This window comes from Homo sapiens, chromosome 3 (assembly GCF_000001405.40).
Source record: "Homo sapiens chromosome 3, GRCh38.p14 Primary Assembly".
In the NCBI taxonomy this organism is placed as follows: Eukaryota; Metazoa; Chordata; class Mammalia; order Primates; family Hominidae; genus Homo; species Homo sapiens.
Window position 1 is genome coordinate 67,836,987 of NC_000003.12, and position 18,360 is coordinate 67,855,346.

Consider the following 18,360-nt stretch of genomic DNA (forward strand, 5'->3'; position numbering starts at 1 on the left):
GCAAGGATAGGGCAGAGTTCTCCAGAAGGCCGTGTATGCTCTGAATCAGTGTTCAATATATGTTACTTTTTCTCTCATAGCCAGGATTTGCAGGTCCAGGAATCAAGGGGTAGAAGTGGGAGTGGCACCACTCACCATCACCCCTAGTGATCCACTAGCAAAAGTTTTGCTTCCTGTTCCCAAGATACTACGTTCTGCCGGCCTAGAGGTCTTAGTTCCAGAGGGAGGAATGCTGCGACCAGGAGACACAACAACAATTCCATTAAACTGGAAGTTAAGGTTGCCACCTGGACACTTTGGGCTCCTTCTGCCTTTAAGTCAACAGGCTAAGAAGGGAGTTACAGTGTTGGCTGGGGTGATTGACCTGGACTATCAAGATGAAATCAGTCTACTCCACAATGGAGGTAAGGAAGAGTATGCATGGAATACAGGAGATACATTAGGGCATCTCTTATTATTCCCATGCCCTGTGATTAAGGTCAATTGGAAACTACAACAGCCCAATCCAGGCAGGACTACAAATGGCCCAGATTCCTCAGGAATGAAGGTTTGGGTCACTCCACCAGGAAAAAAAAAAAAGCAACAAACCATGACCTGCTGAGATGCTTGCTGAAGGCAAAGGGAATACAGAATGGGAAGTAGAAGAAGGTAGTCGTCAATACCAGCTACGACCACGTGACCAGCTGCAGAAACGAAGACTGTAATTGTCATGAGTATTTCCTCCTTCTTTTGTGAAAAACATGTTTGTGCATGTATACACTTGTACTAAGAAAATATCTTTATTTTATTTCCTTTTCCTTTATCATGTGACATAAGATGTACTGACTTCATATAAGCGTTTAAATATTGTTAACTTTAAGTAACAGTATTTGTGTTGGGGATTGTTGCATTTCCGGTTGTTTGAAGGATAGTTGTATTATGCTAGGCCTAATTATGACCTTATTATTGTCTTTATTTGAAGATTATTTATGATCTCAGGAGATGTTTATGGGTTCAAGTTGACACGGAGTGGACTTGTGGTGGTTAATACTGAGTGTCAAATTGATTGGATTGAAGGATACAAAGTACTAATCCTGGGTGTGTCTGTGTGGGTATTGCCAAAAGAGATTAACATTTGAGTCAGTGGGCTGGGGAAGGCAGATCCACCCTTAATCTAGTGGGCACAAACTAATCAGCTTCCAGCAAATGTAAAGCAGGCAGAAAAACGTGAAGAAGAGAGACTGGCCTAGCCTCCCAGCCTACATCTTTCTCCCGTGCTGGATGCTTCCTGCCCTCGAATATCGAACCCCAGGTTCTTCTGTTTTGGAACTCAGACTGGCCCTCCTTGCTCCTCAGCTTGCAGACAGCCTATTGTGAGACCTTGTGATTATGGAAGTTAATACGTAATAAACTCCCCTTTTTATATATATCTATATATAGATCTTAGTTCTGTCCCTCTAGAGAACCCTAACAGAGGCCTCAAATTCTTTTTTAAAAACTTTTTCAATTTTGTAATTGATATATAATAGATGTGCATTCTTTTATCTTCTCTATCAAATGGGCTTTTCCTCCTCAATTCCAAATTTCTATGAAATGCAGTATTATTGAAGCAGTCTTGAAATGAAGCTTAAAGATGTAGAGAACATTGTAACTCACAAAACATTAGAAGTGTGGGCTTTTTAAGCCAAAAGAGAATCATAAAGTTCAGCTGTCTTGTTTCTTGTAAGTCTGGAAATTTCTTTCCTTCATTCAGTGCATCGGTTTGCAGTGAAATTGTATTTATTATTCTTTTTAAGTGTTTATTTATTTTTCTTTTTAAGTGTTTATTTCTCACATCCATTTATTCTCATTTCTACCTAACCCTTTCATGCAAACATTCATTCCTTTATCCGTTGACTCCATCATTCATTCATTCCACTGATATTTATCAAGCATCATTAAATGGTATGTATTGAGCAAGACAGTGAGGATATGGCAGTAAATAAGATCCAGCACCTGCCCTGCAAAGTTATGATAAATATTTATGCAAATCTATGTTCATTAGTAATAACGGAAACTAAATTCTGACCTCAGTAGTCAGGCTTATTGCTTATTCACTTTTTCTCCTCCGTGGCTCTAGAATTAAGCTTTTTGGGGTTGCAAATGCTTTGTGTTAGGATATATTCATTTGTCTCTATTTATATGAGTCTATGGGGAAACATCTCTTCTACTTGTACCATGATCTTCTCATAGTTCACCTCAAAAATTGGCACTGGTGGTTTGGTTTTAATCTGATGATTTTCAAAAAGCACCTTGCAAATTTCCTGGCATTCTATACAGTTTCTTTGACTAACACTTCAGGATAGAAAAGGAATGGGAGCAAGACGTTGGGCTCCTTCCTTCAACTAGAACAATGTCATATTTATCATGATACATTAATCACTTACAAGACCTTCAAGGACAGGGTTCTGAGGTTTTGAAAAATGTTTAAAAAAATTAATATCCTATTTACAATAAAAATTCACTTTTAATTTTGTATTTCTTCAGGTAATTATAGTTCAATATGAAAAATAGTGATAAAGGTCTTTTATGAACATTTACCATGTGATTTTTAATTCTCCCAACAACAGGAGGTACCATAATTTTGCCTGCCTATTCAGGTGAATAAGTCTGGGGTCAGATGGGTTTGAATTGACTTTTCCTATATCCCCTAGCTTATAGGGCAGAGCCAAGAAAAAAGTCTGACATATTTGACTCAATGCTTTGCCTTTAACCACTCTACTCTTCTGCTTTATGTAGTTTGTAGACTGCTCTCCCCCTTTCACCACCCTGCATTATTTCACTCTTTCTTTTGATTTTTTTTTCCAAGTCACATGTGCAATAGTCCCTTGCTTTTTGTTTACCTTTTTGTGTATGTTTGTTTGGTTTCTGTTTTCTTAAAAAAACACAATTGCATGCCTCTGATTCCTTCTCCCACCAATCTGTGCCCCACACTTATCAAATTAATCTACCCCAATACCATTCTCTTCATTTCTTTGTCTTATTTAAAATCTTCTGATTATCCCTATTTCCTACAGTGATATTTCCCAAAACATGTTCTCCAAGCTGTTAATATTCTATGTAAATGAAAGAAAAAGGAAGAAAGAAAAAGAAAGGAAGAAAAGAAGGAGGAAGAAAAAGAAGGGAGGGAGAAAAAAGGAAAGAAAAAGAAAAGACAAACTCGTGAGTTTGGAAAGCACTTTCATTACAGAAAGATTTATCTGACTATTATGTTAATATCCATGTGACAGTAATAAAGAAATCATCTATTGGAGATAAATATAGAATAGTTTCAAAACTTGCTTTCTCTAAATCAGAGTGTCTGGGTTTAAGTGACCTTTCCCAATGTTCTATGTTCTTTGTCAAATGACTTCGTCTCTCTGATTTTAGTTCCCTGATCTGCAAAATAAGATAATGATTATGACCTCTGAAATGGCCTGCAATTATCCTCTCACACTGTGTTCACACACTTGGTAGTCTCTTCCCCCATGAGAAAGGACCGACTTTTATAGCCCATAGGATGTTGCAGAGTTGTATTCAAAGCTGAGTCATGAAAGACACTGTATCTCTTCCTTGCTCTCTCTTGGATAACTTGTTCTGGAGGAAGCCAACTGCCATGTCATGAGGATCCTCAAAGAGCCCATTAGAATGCCTACGTAGAGAAAAAGCCTTCAACTAATAACCAGCACCAACATGGCAGCCATGTGAGCAAGCCAACTGGGAAGTGCACCCTGAGGACATAATCAAGCTCTCAGAGTACTTCAGCTAAGGCTGATGACTTGACTGCAACTAACTGAGACATGTTGAGCCTGAACTCCCAGTCAAGATGCTACCAAACTCTTGGCCCATAGAAAAGGTGAGAGAATAAATGTTCAAAGTTGTTTTAAGCCAGTTTTTAGGGTAATTTGTTACACAACAATAAATAATAAATACAATGATAATGATGTTGGTGATGATAGTATCTACCTACCAAAAAACAACAAATGATAATGCAAGTAACAAACTTAGCCATGGTTTAGGGCAAGAGTAAGCATTAAACCAAAGTTCAACATTAATAATAGAGGTAAAAGTCATATGAAGCATATCTTAAATACATGATTTCCTCTTTTTATGGAGCAGTAAGGAAATTGTGCTTTCTGAAATACACTTTGAAGAAACCTTCTCTAGAGTCTAAATATTCTAGGTGTTTATATGAGGCATCCCTATCTGGGTCTCACCCATTTCCCCAAATTGCTCTCTAACTCTGCAAAAATAGACCTTGTATTTTGCACAGTCTACCTCTAAACTTATTATCCCATTCAGCGTCATAAGGCTTCCTCTTCATATTCCCTTCTGTCCTATAAGACATGTTTTAAATCCCACCCTCATGAAATTCCACATATAGATGATTTCTGTGGGGCCAAGACTATGTGTGAGGTTCTCAAACGTGGGATCAAGTTTTAATTATTCAAATCACCTTGGTTTGAATAATTAGACAGTATTACACAATGGTCAAGAAGTAGAGAAGTGCAGGAATATACCTCATATAGCTAGCCAAAAACAACAACAAACTTTTAAACTAAAAACAATGCAAAACCAGCCACCACAAACCTTAGATAGTAAATACTGCAAATAATGAAAAATTAGCAGTGTAAAAAAGTCATATGTAGATATGAAGAAGGAGTTAAATAAATACAATGAAAGAAAAAAATATGGACTGTTTGGTAGTAGGAAAAAAAATCCAAGACACCAAGAGTTAAGCCTCCTGCCAGTTTCCTCTTTTTTGTGATCTGAAATCTACTTGGTATTTTAGTTTCTTTTCCTCAGAGAAGAAAGAAAAAAGAGAAGAACTTGAATATTAAACACCATTAAATTCCATTAAGAAATTATTTTGAGAAAATACTTTTTGGAAAAAAAATTTTTTTTTTCTGAATCAACCAGATATCTTTTCTCTTAAGGCTGAAGTTTTGTGAAAAACACATCCAGAATCAATTAACTAAAGAGTTGTTAAATTTGTTATTTCGTATACTTGAGTAATGAAGAAGCCTAAAATGTTACATAATTAGAGGTAGATAACAATGTAAGCATTTATTTCCAATGTAATAATTTGGTATCAAAGAGATAGCCAACTCTTTCATGATTATCCAAGTTAAAGTTGTAGCCAGTCTGCAGTGTGGGAAAAAGGTAAGAGAAAATATCCTGGAAAGAGTGAGTTGACTGTTGAAAATGGTTTTCTCATAAGGGCAATAATGGTAACCATGAAAAAACTTTCTTTCTTTTTTTTTTTTTTTTTTTGAGACAGAGTCTCACTGTGTCGCCCAGGCCGGAGTGCAGTGGCACAGTCTCGGCTCACTGCAACCTCCACCTCCTGGGTTCACGCCATTCTCCTGCCTCAGCCTCCCGAGTAGCTGGGACTACAGGTGCCTGCCACCACGCCCGGCTAATTTTTTGTATTTTTAGTAGAGATGGGGTTTTACCTTGTTAGCCAGGATGGTCTCGATCTCCTGACCTCGTGACCTACCCACCTCCGCCTCCCAAAGTGCTAGGATTACAGGCGTGAGCCACTGCACCCAGCAAAACTTTCAAATGGTATTAATTTGGGACTATTTGCTGAAAATGGTGGAGCCATAATTTGTAAGGGCCAGAACTCACCTCCCACACAAACTCCTTATACTGGAGTGAGTGAGCAAATAATCACTGAGATTTCAAGGTTGCTCCTTATAGCAGCTAACATTTCTTACCCTGACAGAAACCGAGGCCCAGAAAGGTGACTGCATGCCAATGGCTCTTTAGTGAAGAAAAGGATCTGGAGACTTCACCATTTTCTTCCCCTTATTTTTGAAAACCAATTTGTAAAAGGTCTCTGTTTGCAAGTAATCACTTGTTCCTTCTCATAGCTTACCTCAGATGAATGTAAAAACTTCATTAAATGACCGTGACATTAAACCAAGTCATTATATCATAAAATTACAGTGGCAACTATTCAAAAACATTTAGAGCAGCTTCAAAATATAGCACATCTATTTACCTAAATGAAGTTACGTTGCTTTAACTTTCTACTTTTACCAAGTAATAGGTGAGTTCAACCTGACATGATACAAAGGGTTTCACAGTCTCACCAGTAAGAATTCATGTACTTCAGACAATCCCGTCTCTCCTTCCCCACACAATTTGTTCTGCTTGAAATTTAATTTTATGGGAATTTCTTACTTTAACAATCTCACAATGTAGGGCATAGTGTCTTTAAACACAGTCCTAAATAGAAACCCTAATAAATCACCATGTTTTGGATAAGAGCCATGTCTACAGTATAAATTGGAATGGAAGATAAATGATTCTGCAGAGGGACATTCACCTAAATAGGTTTATCCTCAGTAAAAATGACAATTCCCTACCTGGGTTGTAGGAATATAATGGAATCTCCAGGGAAGTTGGAAAGTTGAGATGTCAGTAAAGTGAAATCAAGTATTTTCTATTCAATAGCTATGCCTGGGCTAGTTCCGACCAAGCGTCAAGGATACCAATAGCAAAAGACTAAGCAATGGAGACGTTTATAGCCACATTTTCTTCAGGTGAGGCTAAGATGAGGATAGAAACAGAAATTTGTATCTGGGGACAGAACGGTCAAGAGCAAAAGGCGAGCAAAAGGCAAACAAAAGACAAGAGCAAGGCCATGCTGTCCCATTTAGGAGGGACAAAGGGAGGTGCTGACTCAGCCCAAAAGAGTAACCATGTCAGAGGAGAGAAGAGGGGTCTAGGAGAACAGAGGAAGGAGAACATGGGATGTAAAATTTTTTAAACCTGGACTTAAAGTCCAATTCTGCTATGATAGAATGACTCTTGGGAAGTCACCCTTTCTCTCTAAGCCTATTCCTTTATTTGTATTATGGTAATACAGAATTGCATCTGATGGGAGTTTATCTTAGGCAAATTCAAATATAAACACTCTGTTAGAGGAAAAGAAGTAATTTAATTAGTGCAAGAGTTCTGCTAGCCATAAATGGCAATAGCATGTGTGCCAAAAATCTGGACTATTGTTCCCGCATTACATGTGCTTCTCACAGTGTATGCTAGACTGTAAGCCTGCCGAGGCCAAGAATATAGTCTCTCTGTTTCATGACTGTATATACAACACCTATGATAATGCCTTATATGTAAGAGAGGTCATAAATATTTATGAAAAGAGGTAAGAAAGAAGAACGGGAGGGAAAGAAATGAAGAAATAGCATGCATCTTGCTATACTGAACATGTCTCTATTTTCTTGAACAGCATGAGCCCATAGAGAAGCCATCCACTTTACCAGGCATGAGTGGAAGAAACAGCAACGAATCCTAATACTTGCAGGAAAACTGAGTGTGTTGGAGTTTTTTAAAGAAAAAATTCTCAGAGGTAATTTTGACTATATACAATTTTCTCTTTATGTACTTTAGAACCCCACTGCCAAATAAGATGCAATTCTACCATAATAATAATTGTAACAACATCTGCATAACCTAACTCACTAGGCTCATATAAGAACACAATAAGATTAAAATCTAGAATGGCACTCTGCATAATAGTGTTGTAACATGCAAATGTCAGGTGTAAATGATTTGTATAATTATCTGGCACCACCTACTAGCATACTCTCTTCTACTGAATTCTGTTAAAAAACACAACGACTGTATAGTTTCTTTAGTTACCTGACAAAAGGAATGTCTGCGGTTGAACTACTGGAGATGTTGATACCCGAAGGTTAGGAAAACTAGCGAAGGGAGGAAATATCTGCTACTCATTTCATCAACTGGATAGCCTTATAGCACTATTGACATCCTCATCTGGGCTCTGTGGGGTTTGTCACAGAGATGTTCACCAACAAAAGCTATTGCTACCATCGTTAAGCTTGTAAGCATCCATTCATTACTACTGTACTTTCTTCATTAAGTTCCTTTAACTTAGCTCTGTCCTTTTTCCTCATTTCTCAGACTCCTCCTTTTAAGTAATGTTTCTTCAGCTTCTTTAATCTTCCAGACCTGTAAATGATGGAATGCCATGAAACCTCAGTCCTCAAACCTGTGAACAAAAAAGTATCTGAGACAGGTCTCAATCAATTTTGAAAGTTTGCTTTGCCAAGGTTAAGGACACGCTGCTCATGACAGAGGCTCAGGAGGTCCTGATGACATGTGCTCAAGGTAGTCGGGGTTCAGCTTTGATTTTATACATTTTAGGAAGACACGAGACATCAATTAATACATGTAAGATGTACACTGGTTTGGTCCAGAAAGGTGGGACAACTCGAAGCGGGGACTTCTGGACCATAGGTAGATTTAAAGATTTTCTGATTGGTAATTGGTTGAAAGAGTTATTATCCAAAGAAAGGAATGTCTGGGTTATGATAAGGAGTTGTGGAGACCAAGATTTAATTATGCAGATGAAGCCTCCAGATAGCAGGCTTTAGAGAGAATAGATTGTAAATGTTTCTTATCAGACTTAAAGAGTCTATTCTATCAGTCTTTAGGTTTGTTTTGATGTTAATGGTAATGAAGCATGTCTGACCACCTTCTCCTCCACCACTTCCCATTATGGCTTGAAGTAGTTTTTCAGGTTAACTTTGAAATGCCGTTGGCTGAGAGGAGGGGTCCATTCGGATAGTTGGGAGGGCTTAGAATTTTAGTTTTTGTTTACAGACCCCTTTGCTTTCTGCATTTATTTTCAAAGTAGTCTTGCCAACCTAGAAGATGGATTTAAATGCCATTGTATATGTTATCCCAAATGTATAATACAGCTTACACATGCCTCCTGAATGGTAGATAAAGTATCAAACTATCTACCTCCCATTTGGAGGTCTAATAGATCACTTGAACTTACCAAGTCTATTACCAAACTCTTTATTATTCTTCTAATGCCTGCCCAGCCTCTCTCTCAATTCAGAATAAGACTCAAAGTCCCCTATAGGGCATTACATAATGTGATGTCACACTAATTTTCTGATCTCATCTCATATTGCATTTCCTTCTACTTGGTGTCTCTCATCACAGCCAGTACAATTATACCTCAGGACTTCTCCACGGGGAGTTCTCTCTGCCTGGAATCCTCTTCCTCCAGATAACGATGTGGCTTATTTTCTCACTTCATTCACGTTTCTGGGAAAAATAATCTCTAATTGAAGAGTTGTTTTCTGACTACTTTATTTAATATACAAATTTTCTCCACGTTAGTTTTGTCACTCTTTATCCAATTTTTCTGCTTTATTTTTCTTTGTTGCACTCATTATTGTCTTACATATAATTTTTCTTCACCTCCCATACTGGACTGTTAACTCCATGCTCATAGAGATTTTGCTTATTTAAATCCTATATGTGCAGCTTTTAGCATAATTTCTGACTCATAGTAGGAATTCAGGAAATATCTGTGAGGTGAATGAATAAATATATTTTTAGATTTTCTTTATACATAAAAGTGTCTATTCAAAAATTTTTTTCAGATAATGCTGTCTTTGTGGTTCTGGAAATTGCTTTCTTACTTAGTAATATGCTCTAAGCATCTTTCTATAATACATCACCAAATATAGATCTAAATCATTTTTACTAGTCTCAGAGTATTTCATTGTATGGAGGTGCTGCGATTGATTTATTCAAACTCAACTGATGGACAGTTGGATTGTTTTCCTTTTTTTTCTATTTCAAACAATGCTTTAATAAATAAGCTTATATTGAAATCTTTTGTAATGCAATTCTTCAAGCAATTATTGAGTATCTGCTATACACAATTCACTGGCCTAGACAATGGGATGGTAAAGTAGAGACAAATGTGACATGGTTCCTGCATTCAGGGAGCTCATGACCTACTCAAGGAGACAGATGATGGAAAATAAGAATGACATATTTTAGAGAATAATAGAGTATAGAATTATAGAGTACTGCAAGGGCAGTAGAGAATAGGGGATTCAGGAATGGAAACTATCAGGAGATGCAAGATTCAGAAAAGCTTTTTGGAAGGTCTGTAAGTTTGGCCTGGGCTTTGGCAAAGGTTTCAACCAGCAGAGGGTCTGAGGTGAAGAGAGAGTGCTACGCATTTAGAGGATTGCCAGAACTATTCTTGCATAGTTTAGCTCTCTAGTTTGACTGGAACAGAAGGTGGGTGAGCAACAAGGTCAAAAATGTAGGCTGGGGCAAGAGCACCTACCAGGTCCCAATCATTGTCAAGCCAAAAGATCCAGGGATAAAGAATAATGTGGGAATAGATCCATGTGACTTACCCATCAGACTTTTTCCTTTTTCAGAAGAAAGTTTGTCTGGGCTCTCCTGGTCTGTGGGTAAACAGACTCATTATTCCCAAATGTTCTGGTATTTGAAGAAAAGCTAGAAATCTGTATTTTTTATGTTTATTTTTTATTTTTGAGATGGAGCCTCACTCTTTTGCCCAGGCTGGAGTGCAGGGGCATACTCTCGGCTCACTGCAACCTCTGCCTCCCAGGTTCAAGCAATTCTCCTGTCTCAGCCTCCCGAGTAGCTGGGACTACAGGCTCCTGCCAGCACACCCAGCTAATTTTTGTGTTTTTAGTGGAGACGGGGTTTCACCTTGTTGGTCAGGCTGGTCTCGGACTCCTGACCTCAGATGATCCACCCAACTCGGCCTCCCAGAGTGCTGGAATTACAGGCATGAGCCATCGTGCCCAGCCAAAATCTGTGCTTTTAAAATATGAAACCTCCTGACTTTTAACTGCTGACCATTTTGTCTTATTTTTTCAGAACCTCATTTTGTGAACCATAAAACAACAACAATAAAATTCCCAATCGACCCACTGCTAATGGGCTGTATGTATCCTGTGAACCACCAATTTGTAAATTCTGCCCTAAGGGCCCTGAGGAGACTCTGTCCCCTAATAATGGTGAATTTCATTCTTTTTGGACCTTGAATATGATAGCGAAATTCCATTTTACATCATAATCTAAGATGCACATACATAAGCAAATATAAATGAAACAAAACTTTTAGAAAACAGTACTTAATCCTAACAACTTACTTAACAAAAAGAAAAGCGCTATGATTTAGACTAGTTCAGTTCATTCTCTTCTGTTCTTCCAAAAAGAAATCTTTCTTTTAACCTACACAGCGAACTTCAGGACTCACCATGATTGCAAAATTCATTGAAAACATTGTCCTGACTATAATGCTTCTTTTGCCATCTAAACCTATGTGATTTTGTAATACCTCTTAGGAGTTTCCTTCTCAGGTGTTTAGGAATTGTGGATCCAACTAGAACATAAACAGCTTTCAGGCAGGATTTCCTCCTTTCTCTTAGATCCACAATCACAGCAAATGTAGCAATTATTCAACAACTGGATGTTGGAATTTGGGCCTCTGAGATTCTCCCCAAGTCAGATTTTATAGTCTGAGTTTCAAAGGCCTTGGGTTTGTAAACCGATTCCTTGACGTAGCTGGAGGAGATGGTCATTGACTTTTACTTAGAAAACCATTTGTCACTAGTTCATCCAGCTTCCCTCCAAAAATGTGTCCCTGAACCTCAGCCTGAAATTGAAATCCTCTTTATCTTGAGGCCAAATTGGCTCCACTCCTACAGCTCCTATCTCAACCCCAGGCCACGTCCTTTTGTTGGATTGATTGTGAAGGCCAAATCATAAGTTCTTCCTATTTTATGCTTTATATAATGTGAACCCTTTCTGGTTATTAAGAAACACAAATGATTTTAGTTATCATGGAATTAAATGTAGCCTAGAACATTCAATATTTGTCAGGTCATGTTGCAAATGAGCTACTGTATTCATAATGGATGTGTCACCATCATAAATATGACAAAAGGACATTTTCAAAAGATGATTATGCGCACCGATGGGAGAGAAATATGAGCTCAAGAAATTAACATTCTCATCACTGCCTTGCTCCTCTGCTTTGCATTATTTAAGGATCTCTGGTGACTTGACTGAAGTCCTCCTTGTCCCCTAAAGCCCTCAGTGTGCCAAGCTTTTGGAGTATAGCCCACCTTGATATCAAAAGAAAGACCCCTGTTGGAGAAGTTGACATTTCCCCCTCTCATCTCTAGGTTAATGGGGAGACCTGAATTCAAAGGCACCTTCGTCTCAGTGGGAGCACCTTAAGACATCTTCAGTTTTGATTTATATTGCTTTCAGGTACATGTTGGATAAAAGCTGATGGGAATGGGAGAAAGAAGCCAGATGCAGAGTAGATCCAAGGGAAGAACCGAAATGCAGAACATTTTACTTCTTTGTTTAGCTATGCTGTGTATTAACTAGCCAACACTGTATTGAATACTTGCCATGCACAAGACTAGTTGTCCTCCACTCTCTTGATCACTCAAATCTCCTGGGGAGCTTTTTAAAACTACCAATATCCTGGCCCCATAAAGACTCTGATTCAATTGGTTGTGAGTGGGGACCCAGCAATATGGAAGTTTTAAACAGCTCTGCAAGAGGTTTGAATGTGCAGCCATGGTTGAGAACCACTGCATTAGATGCTATTCATAAACTTTAAATTTTTAGCTTGTTCATCCCACAGGTCTATAAGGTTGCTATTATCATTATCCTCAATTTTCAGGATTTTTACCTCTATTTAGTAAAATAAAGGTAAAGAGAAGTTAGGTACTATGCCCATGTCATACAGGCTGGTAAGGGGTGGAATCCAAACGTGAGTCTAGGTAGTTGGATTTCAGAGTGCAAAGTAAGTTTAATGCAAAGATCAAAGGAAGGAGGAACACTTATGGTCAGGCATTTGGGACAGAAGTAGCAAAGGGCTGACTACATAGGTGGATAAGTTATAGCAATGGAGTCTCCATTGTATATACCTCCACCCTAAAGGAATATGGGAAGGAGAGTGCTTAAAGTCTATCAGCAGGACTGGCTTTAGAGTGTACAACCTGTGCATGAGCTCAAAAGGGTCCCATACCTTGTTTAATGCTCTGCTGTTCCTGTCTTGAAATTCTTAATAGGTTTGAAATAAGAAGCTCCACATTTTCATTTTGCACTGGACCCCACAAATTATTAATATGACACTCAGGCCAGTCCTGAGTGTCAGACTCATGGAAATGAAATTGTAGCCATTTTTTCTAGTTTGAATGCTGTGTGTGATGAGAGGGGTGGTTGCCTCTCTGCAGGGGTTTCAGTGGAACAGCAATCCCTGCCACCCTTTCTTTGTGAATGCACAGCTCCTAGAGCTGGAAAAGCAAACATCAAAGTCTCTGACAAATGGAGAACAGAGCTGTGAGTTGCACAGATTAAAATATAGAGTGGGGAGAACCCAAAAAAAACCAGTGGTGTCCTAAAAAGTCCTCTATGCATTGCTGCACTGAATCTTTACAACTCTAGAAGATGAGAATGAGTGTGAACCTCCCAGGTTCGCGCCATTGTCCTGCCTCAGTCTCCTGAGTAGCTGGGACTACAGGCGCCCACCACTGTGCCCGGCTAATTTTTTGTATTTTTAGTAGCGATGGGGTTTTATCGTGTTAGCCAGGATGGTCTCGATCTCCTGATCTCGTGATCTGCCCGCCTCAGCCTCCCAAAGTGCTGGGATTACAGGCATGAGCCACTGCGCCCGGCCAACTATTTTATTTTTATTCTATCATCACCCATTCAACAGTTACTCACAGGGCACCTTCAGTACCTTAGGTACTGTTCTTCTTTCTTGAATTTAAAAGGGGTGAGGATTCAGTGAGATGATGTTGTACAAATATGACCTGTTATTACCTGGAGTCTTCTCCTGCCCCAGTTTGGCTGTTCACTGAGTTCCCAAGTGTGACTTGTGATTACGTGGTCAGCTATCTCCTATTTTTATTTATTTATTTATTTTTTACCTTTCAACTTCATACACTTCCTTTAAAACTGAGATCAAATTTATAAACCTGACTCATTATGAGGATGGTGATTCTAAGGGTAGCTCATGTTTTTGGAGTATGTAATGTGTGCCAGATGCAGTGACAACAATTATTTGCATCAGCTCATTTAATTTAACCCTTACAATAGTCCAATGAGATAGGTACAGAAAGCTAGGGAAGGATTAACAAGTTTCTCAGTATCACTCAGATGCCAATGCTAGGGCAAGACTTCAAACCATATGTTGCATGGCATTAAAGACCAGGCTCTTAAACACTGTAGTACTGAAACACTTATTCTATATTTCTATTATTATAGAAATCGATTATATATACATATTTATATTACATATAAATATTAGTATTTCACTTATTATTGAATATTGATTCCTTCAGTGTTATTGTACACTGATATGGTATGTATGTTATGTGTTAGCTTCCAAGTGTCTAGAAGAAGCTATATTTTTACACTTAATGTCTCAGGTAGCATTTGTAATTGTGTCTTTCATGGTGCAGATATTAAAACATACTGATTGACTAAAATTCTACTGGAAAATATATAATACCTAATCATTGGTCAAGTAAAAAATCTATAAAATTGTTTATGTAAGATCATAGTTTTTTTTTGGTTAGACACCAATTTCTCTTTGCCTGAATTTCTAGAATTGTATTTAGAAAAATAGATTACTTAGTAATTTTAACATTCCAAAAAGAGCGGTTAATATTATTTAAGCATTTTTCCATATCACAGTTATTATCCAAGTGCTCTACCTATCTTAAGCCATTTAATCTCTACTAACATGGTGGATGCAGTTTGTAATTCACTCCTTCTTTCCTGACTTACTCTGGGTATTTAGATTTCCCCCTTGTGGCAACTGTATTAGCCTGTTTTCCCACTGCTGATAAAGACATACCCAAGACTGGATAATTTATAAAGGAAAGAGGTTTAATGAACTCACAGTTCCACGTGGCCAGGGAGGCCTCACAATCATGGTGAGGTGAAAGGCAGGCAAGAGAGGATGAGAACCAAGTGAAAGGGGTTTCCCCTTATAAAACCATCAGATCTCGTGAGACTTATTCACTACCGCAAGAACAGTATGGGGGAAACAGCTCCCATGATTCAATGATCTCTCACTGGGTCCGTCCCACAACACGTGGGAATTATGGGAGCTACAATTCAAGATGAGATTTGGGTGGGGACACAGCCAAACCATATCAGCAACAAATGCTTCAGGGGAGGGGAGCCTGTCCCCAGCTTCAGGATGGGTCTGATTTGTTTCCTGTCTCCTTGAGAGTAACTGGTATAGGAATCCAGGACAACCAACAGGACGAATTGCTGCACAGAAGAATTGGCTTAGGAAAGAGTGTGCATCTCAGTCCAGGAGAAGGAGACAAGACACAATGTTTACAGGGAGCATTTGGAAAAGTGAAAGCCACAGGAAAAGATGGCTTCTCTCCACCAAGGACATCACCATGTTAGAACTAAGGCAGCTTTCTCACTATCAGCTCAAGAATGAAGCTAAGAGAGAAGAGAGACAGCCAAGAGAATCACAAAGAAACTGAATTCAGGCCTTAATTAGTCTTCCCTATCTCTAGAATTTTCAGATATGTAAGCCAGTAAATTTCCTTGTTGTTTAAGCTGGTTTGAGATGGGTTTTCTGTTCCTTGCCTCCAAAGCCATCAAACTCTCACATGGATATCAAATGTTATGTTATATGTTAGAATTAGATATAAGAAGATACACCAGCAATTGAAATATGACAATTACAGAAATGCTATCATATGACATTTGCGTAGTGCTGTACAAGGGTTGCCAAAGCATTATGTGTAACAAGCTCCTGATATTTCAGTTGTAAACTATGGCTATTGAAAAAGAGAAAACATTGCCGACCAACATGGACCAGCCCTGCCTTTGCCAATAAAAAGCTGCTTCTCCCCAAATATGAAGAAGATACATGGGATATGACCGTGAGTGCAAATCTCCTGAACAAATTCCCTGTCCTGCAAGAGTCTCAATGTTGTGTCAAGTACGTGGCCATCTTCCCTACTTGACCTGGTTCTGACCTTGTGCTTACTTGTACATACTTGGATAACTGCTAGATGCACTTCCCTAGAGGAGCTCCCTGTAAATCTATAACAAACCATGTCACTCACAGGAGCACTCTTGTAGCTACAGATTGCTCACAGGGCCAAAAGCAACTTTTGCACGTTTTCAGATTAGTGCTATGGTTTTGCTGGCCATGTTGCCTTAGTCTGAGAGATGGCATTGAATCTGTAAATGGCTAAATGCCCAATCTTTTCCTGATTCCCTCATTGGAAGTGAATCCTTCCTTTCCCCAGTATCCTGTCTTTTGTACTTGCATTGCAGCATTAGCCAGAGTTCATCTTAAATCAGAATTATTTATGCAAATGATTGTCTTCTTAACTTGATTGTGGGCAAGTTAAGAGCTAAAGACAGTGTCTCAATTTCTTTTCTAGTCTTTGGATTATCAAAGAGTGGACCTGCTGGTTGAATGTAACATAAGATCAAAAAGCCCCAGAAATCTCATGGGGGGCTCATGGACTATGAGGGCTCATAAACAGATGTTGAGAACCATGCAGTAGAGACAAAGATGATGTTTGAGTTTTTACAATATATTTACACGCCAGAGAAATACAAATACAAAGCTAGGTGTCGTTCCTTCTCTTGATGAAAGAAATATCGAGTAGCAGATATTTATAATTTTTTATTGTATGTATCTAAAAATATTTTGATATTTGAAGAGTATAGAAAATAAAGATAATACAGAGACAGAGCTTATAGAATTACTGTCACTATAGAAGCTGAAAATGCCAGGCACTCACTTATTCTGGCAAGGGCTGTTGTACAGTCAGGGCAAGGGCTAATGATAGGCTTGGCAAGTCAGGCACATCCATCCCAGGCTTTGGTGACTTAGGATCTCCCACTAGCAGACCTTGAAACAAGGTCTTTGGCTCATGTGTTTGTTTTGGAAGTCAACCAGGAAGCTCAAGTGAAGGAATGGGGAAGGCGAAGGAGGGGAGAGAGTGAAGCCTGTTAAAAGGAATGTTAATGAGTGGGTTACTGCTGTAGACAGGTGGGTCTCAATCTTCCCGAGAATCATCAAAAATCTTCTAGAAAGCATAGTAGAAGTGCTGCAGTGAGAAGCGGGGCTATTTATTCACCAACTTCCACTCATCATTGGTTGAGATTTTTCCCGGCACACAGGCTAGTGGAGCTCTTGGGTACATAAAGTCTTCAGGTGGCAAAGTAGAAAGAGAGGGAAGATGATGGCATGATGATGGACATGATGGCAGGTCAGCTCAGAGCTGTGCTGCGGAGATATGAGGTGGGCAGGGTATTGACAGCAGCTGCCTCATTCTGGGAGCCAGAAGCAAGAAGAATAAAACTGGGGGAATCTGCTGTGGTGGTGCAACCCTGGTTGAAGCACTCAGGGTCTTGAATCAGCATTGGCTCCCAGGATAGAGTGCTAAAGTGGTGGCGATGCACTCCAAGGTTATTTCGTGTAATCTTCACAACTCTGCCATATTGGGTGAGGAAAAAAGAGAGCCTTAGGGATGAAAAATTAACTTGTGTAAGGTCATACAACTACTACTGTAGTAAAGATAATCTTTCAAGGAGTGCAAAACAGATAACCAACAATGATAATGATTCTTAATATTTAGAGGTAATTAAGACAATAATAATAATAATAATATCATTATGATAGTTCTTTGCCTGTGTAGAGTTCATATCAATGTGCTTTTCCAAACATTTCATTTATTTTGCTTCATTCATGGGGAGGCATTTCTGTTGTCTTGTATAGATGGGAATACTGAGCTTCCAACATGCAATAACTTGCCAGGAAGCCATGGAATTAACTGCAGTCTAAGCACAATTCCCTTCCCAGAGTGCTTACCTTCCTTCATCCCTGTAGGCAGCAGAAGACAAATGTACTATGCAAATAGTACAATTCATTTCTTTTGCAGGTGTATGTCTCTCTGTATTCAATTCTCATGAAACCTTTCATGAGGTTAAAGTACCTGTTTGCAGAAGTTTTGGAAAGCCCCACAGTTGCAAAAGTAAACACACAACCTTCATACATATTCTAGTCTCCTTAGCATAGCAAACCGTTGATGTAACCACCTGCTATTCTCTGGGGGAAAAGAAAGATTTAGAGGGAATATGAAATCTGGAGAAATGGTTCCATTGAGAATTAACCCTCTTTTAAGAGAAGTCTCAGGCTGTTACAACTGGATATGTATGAGTTTTCATTCAGGGCTTAAAATAGAACAAAATTAGATCTTATGAAAGATTTATGAAGCAGCAATTTGCTCATCTATGCATTTGGATTTTGTGTGTGTTCTCTCATTTTGGGAAGTGCAGTGGTAAAAGTGAATGGCAATGACCAAACTTAGATATTTTGACTGTGTGCAGTGGTCCCCATCACCTATAGAAATGTGTGGTTCTGCCAAGGCAAGTGATGTAAGGCTGGAGGATGGAAAGTGTCGCTGTGCAGTCAGTATCTTTTTATCATCAGCCCTCAAATGCATTGGGGTG

General features: G+C 38.8%; 1 long non-coding RNA gene across 1 annotated transcript in view; it reads left to right on the plus strand.

The window, feature by feature from the left end:
• SUCLG2-DT (SUCLG2 divergent transcript) overlaps positions 1–18,360 on the plus strand; it is a 293,017-nt gene that overhangs the window by 182,290 nt on the left and 92,367 nt on the right. The window contains exons 4-5 of the long non-coding RNA NR_109992.1: positions 3,036–3,853; positions 7,247–7,366. This is a non-coding gene — a long non-coding RNA (SUCLG2 divergent transcript). The remainder of the gene's footprint in view (positions 1–3,035; positions 3,854–7,246; positions 7,367–18,360) is intronic.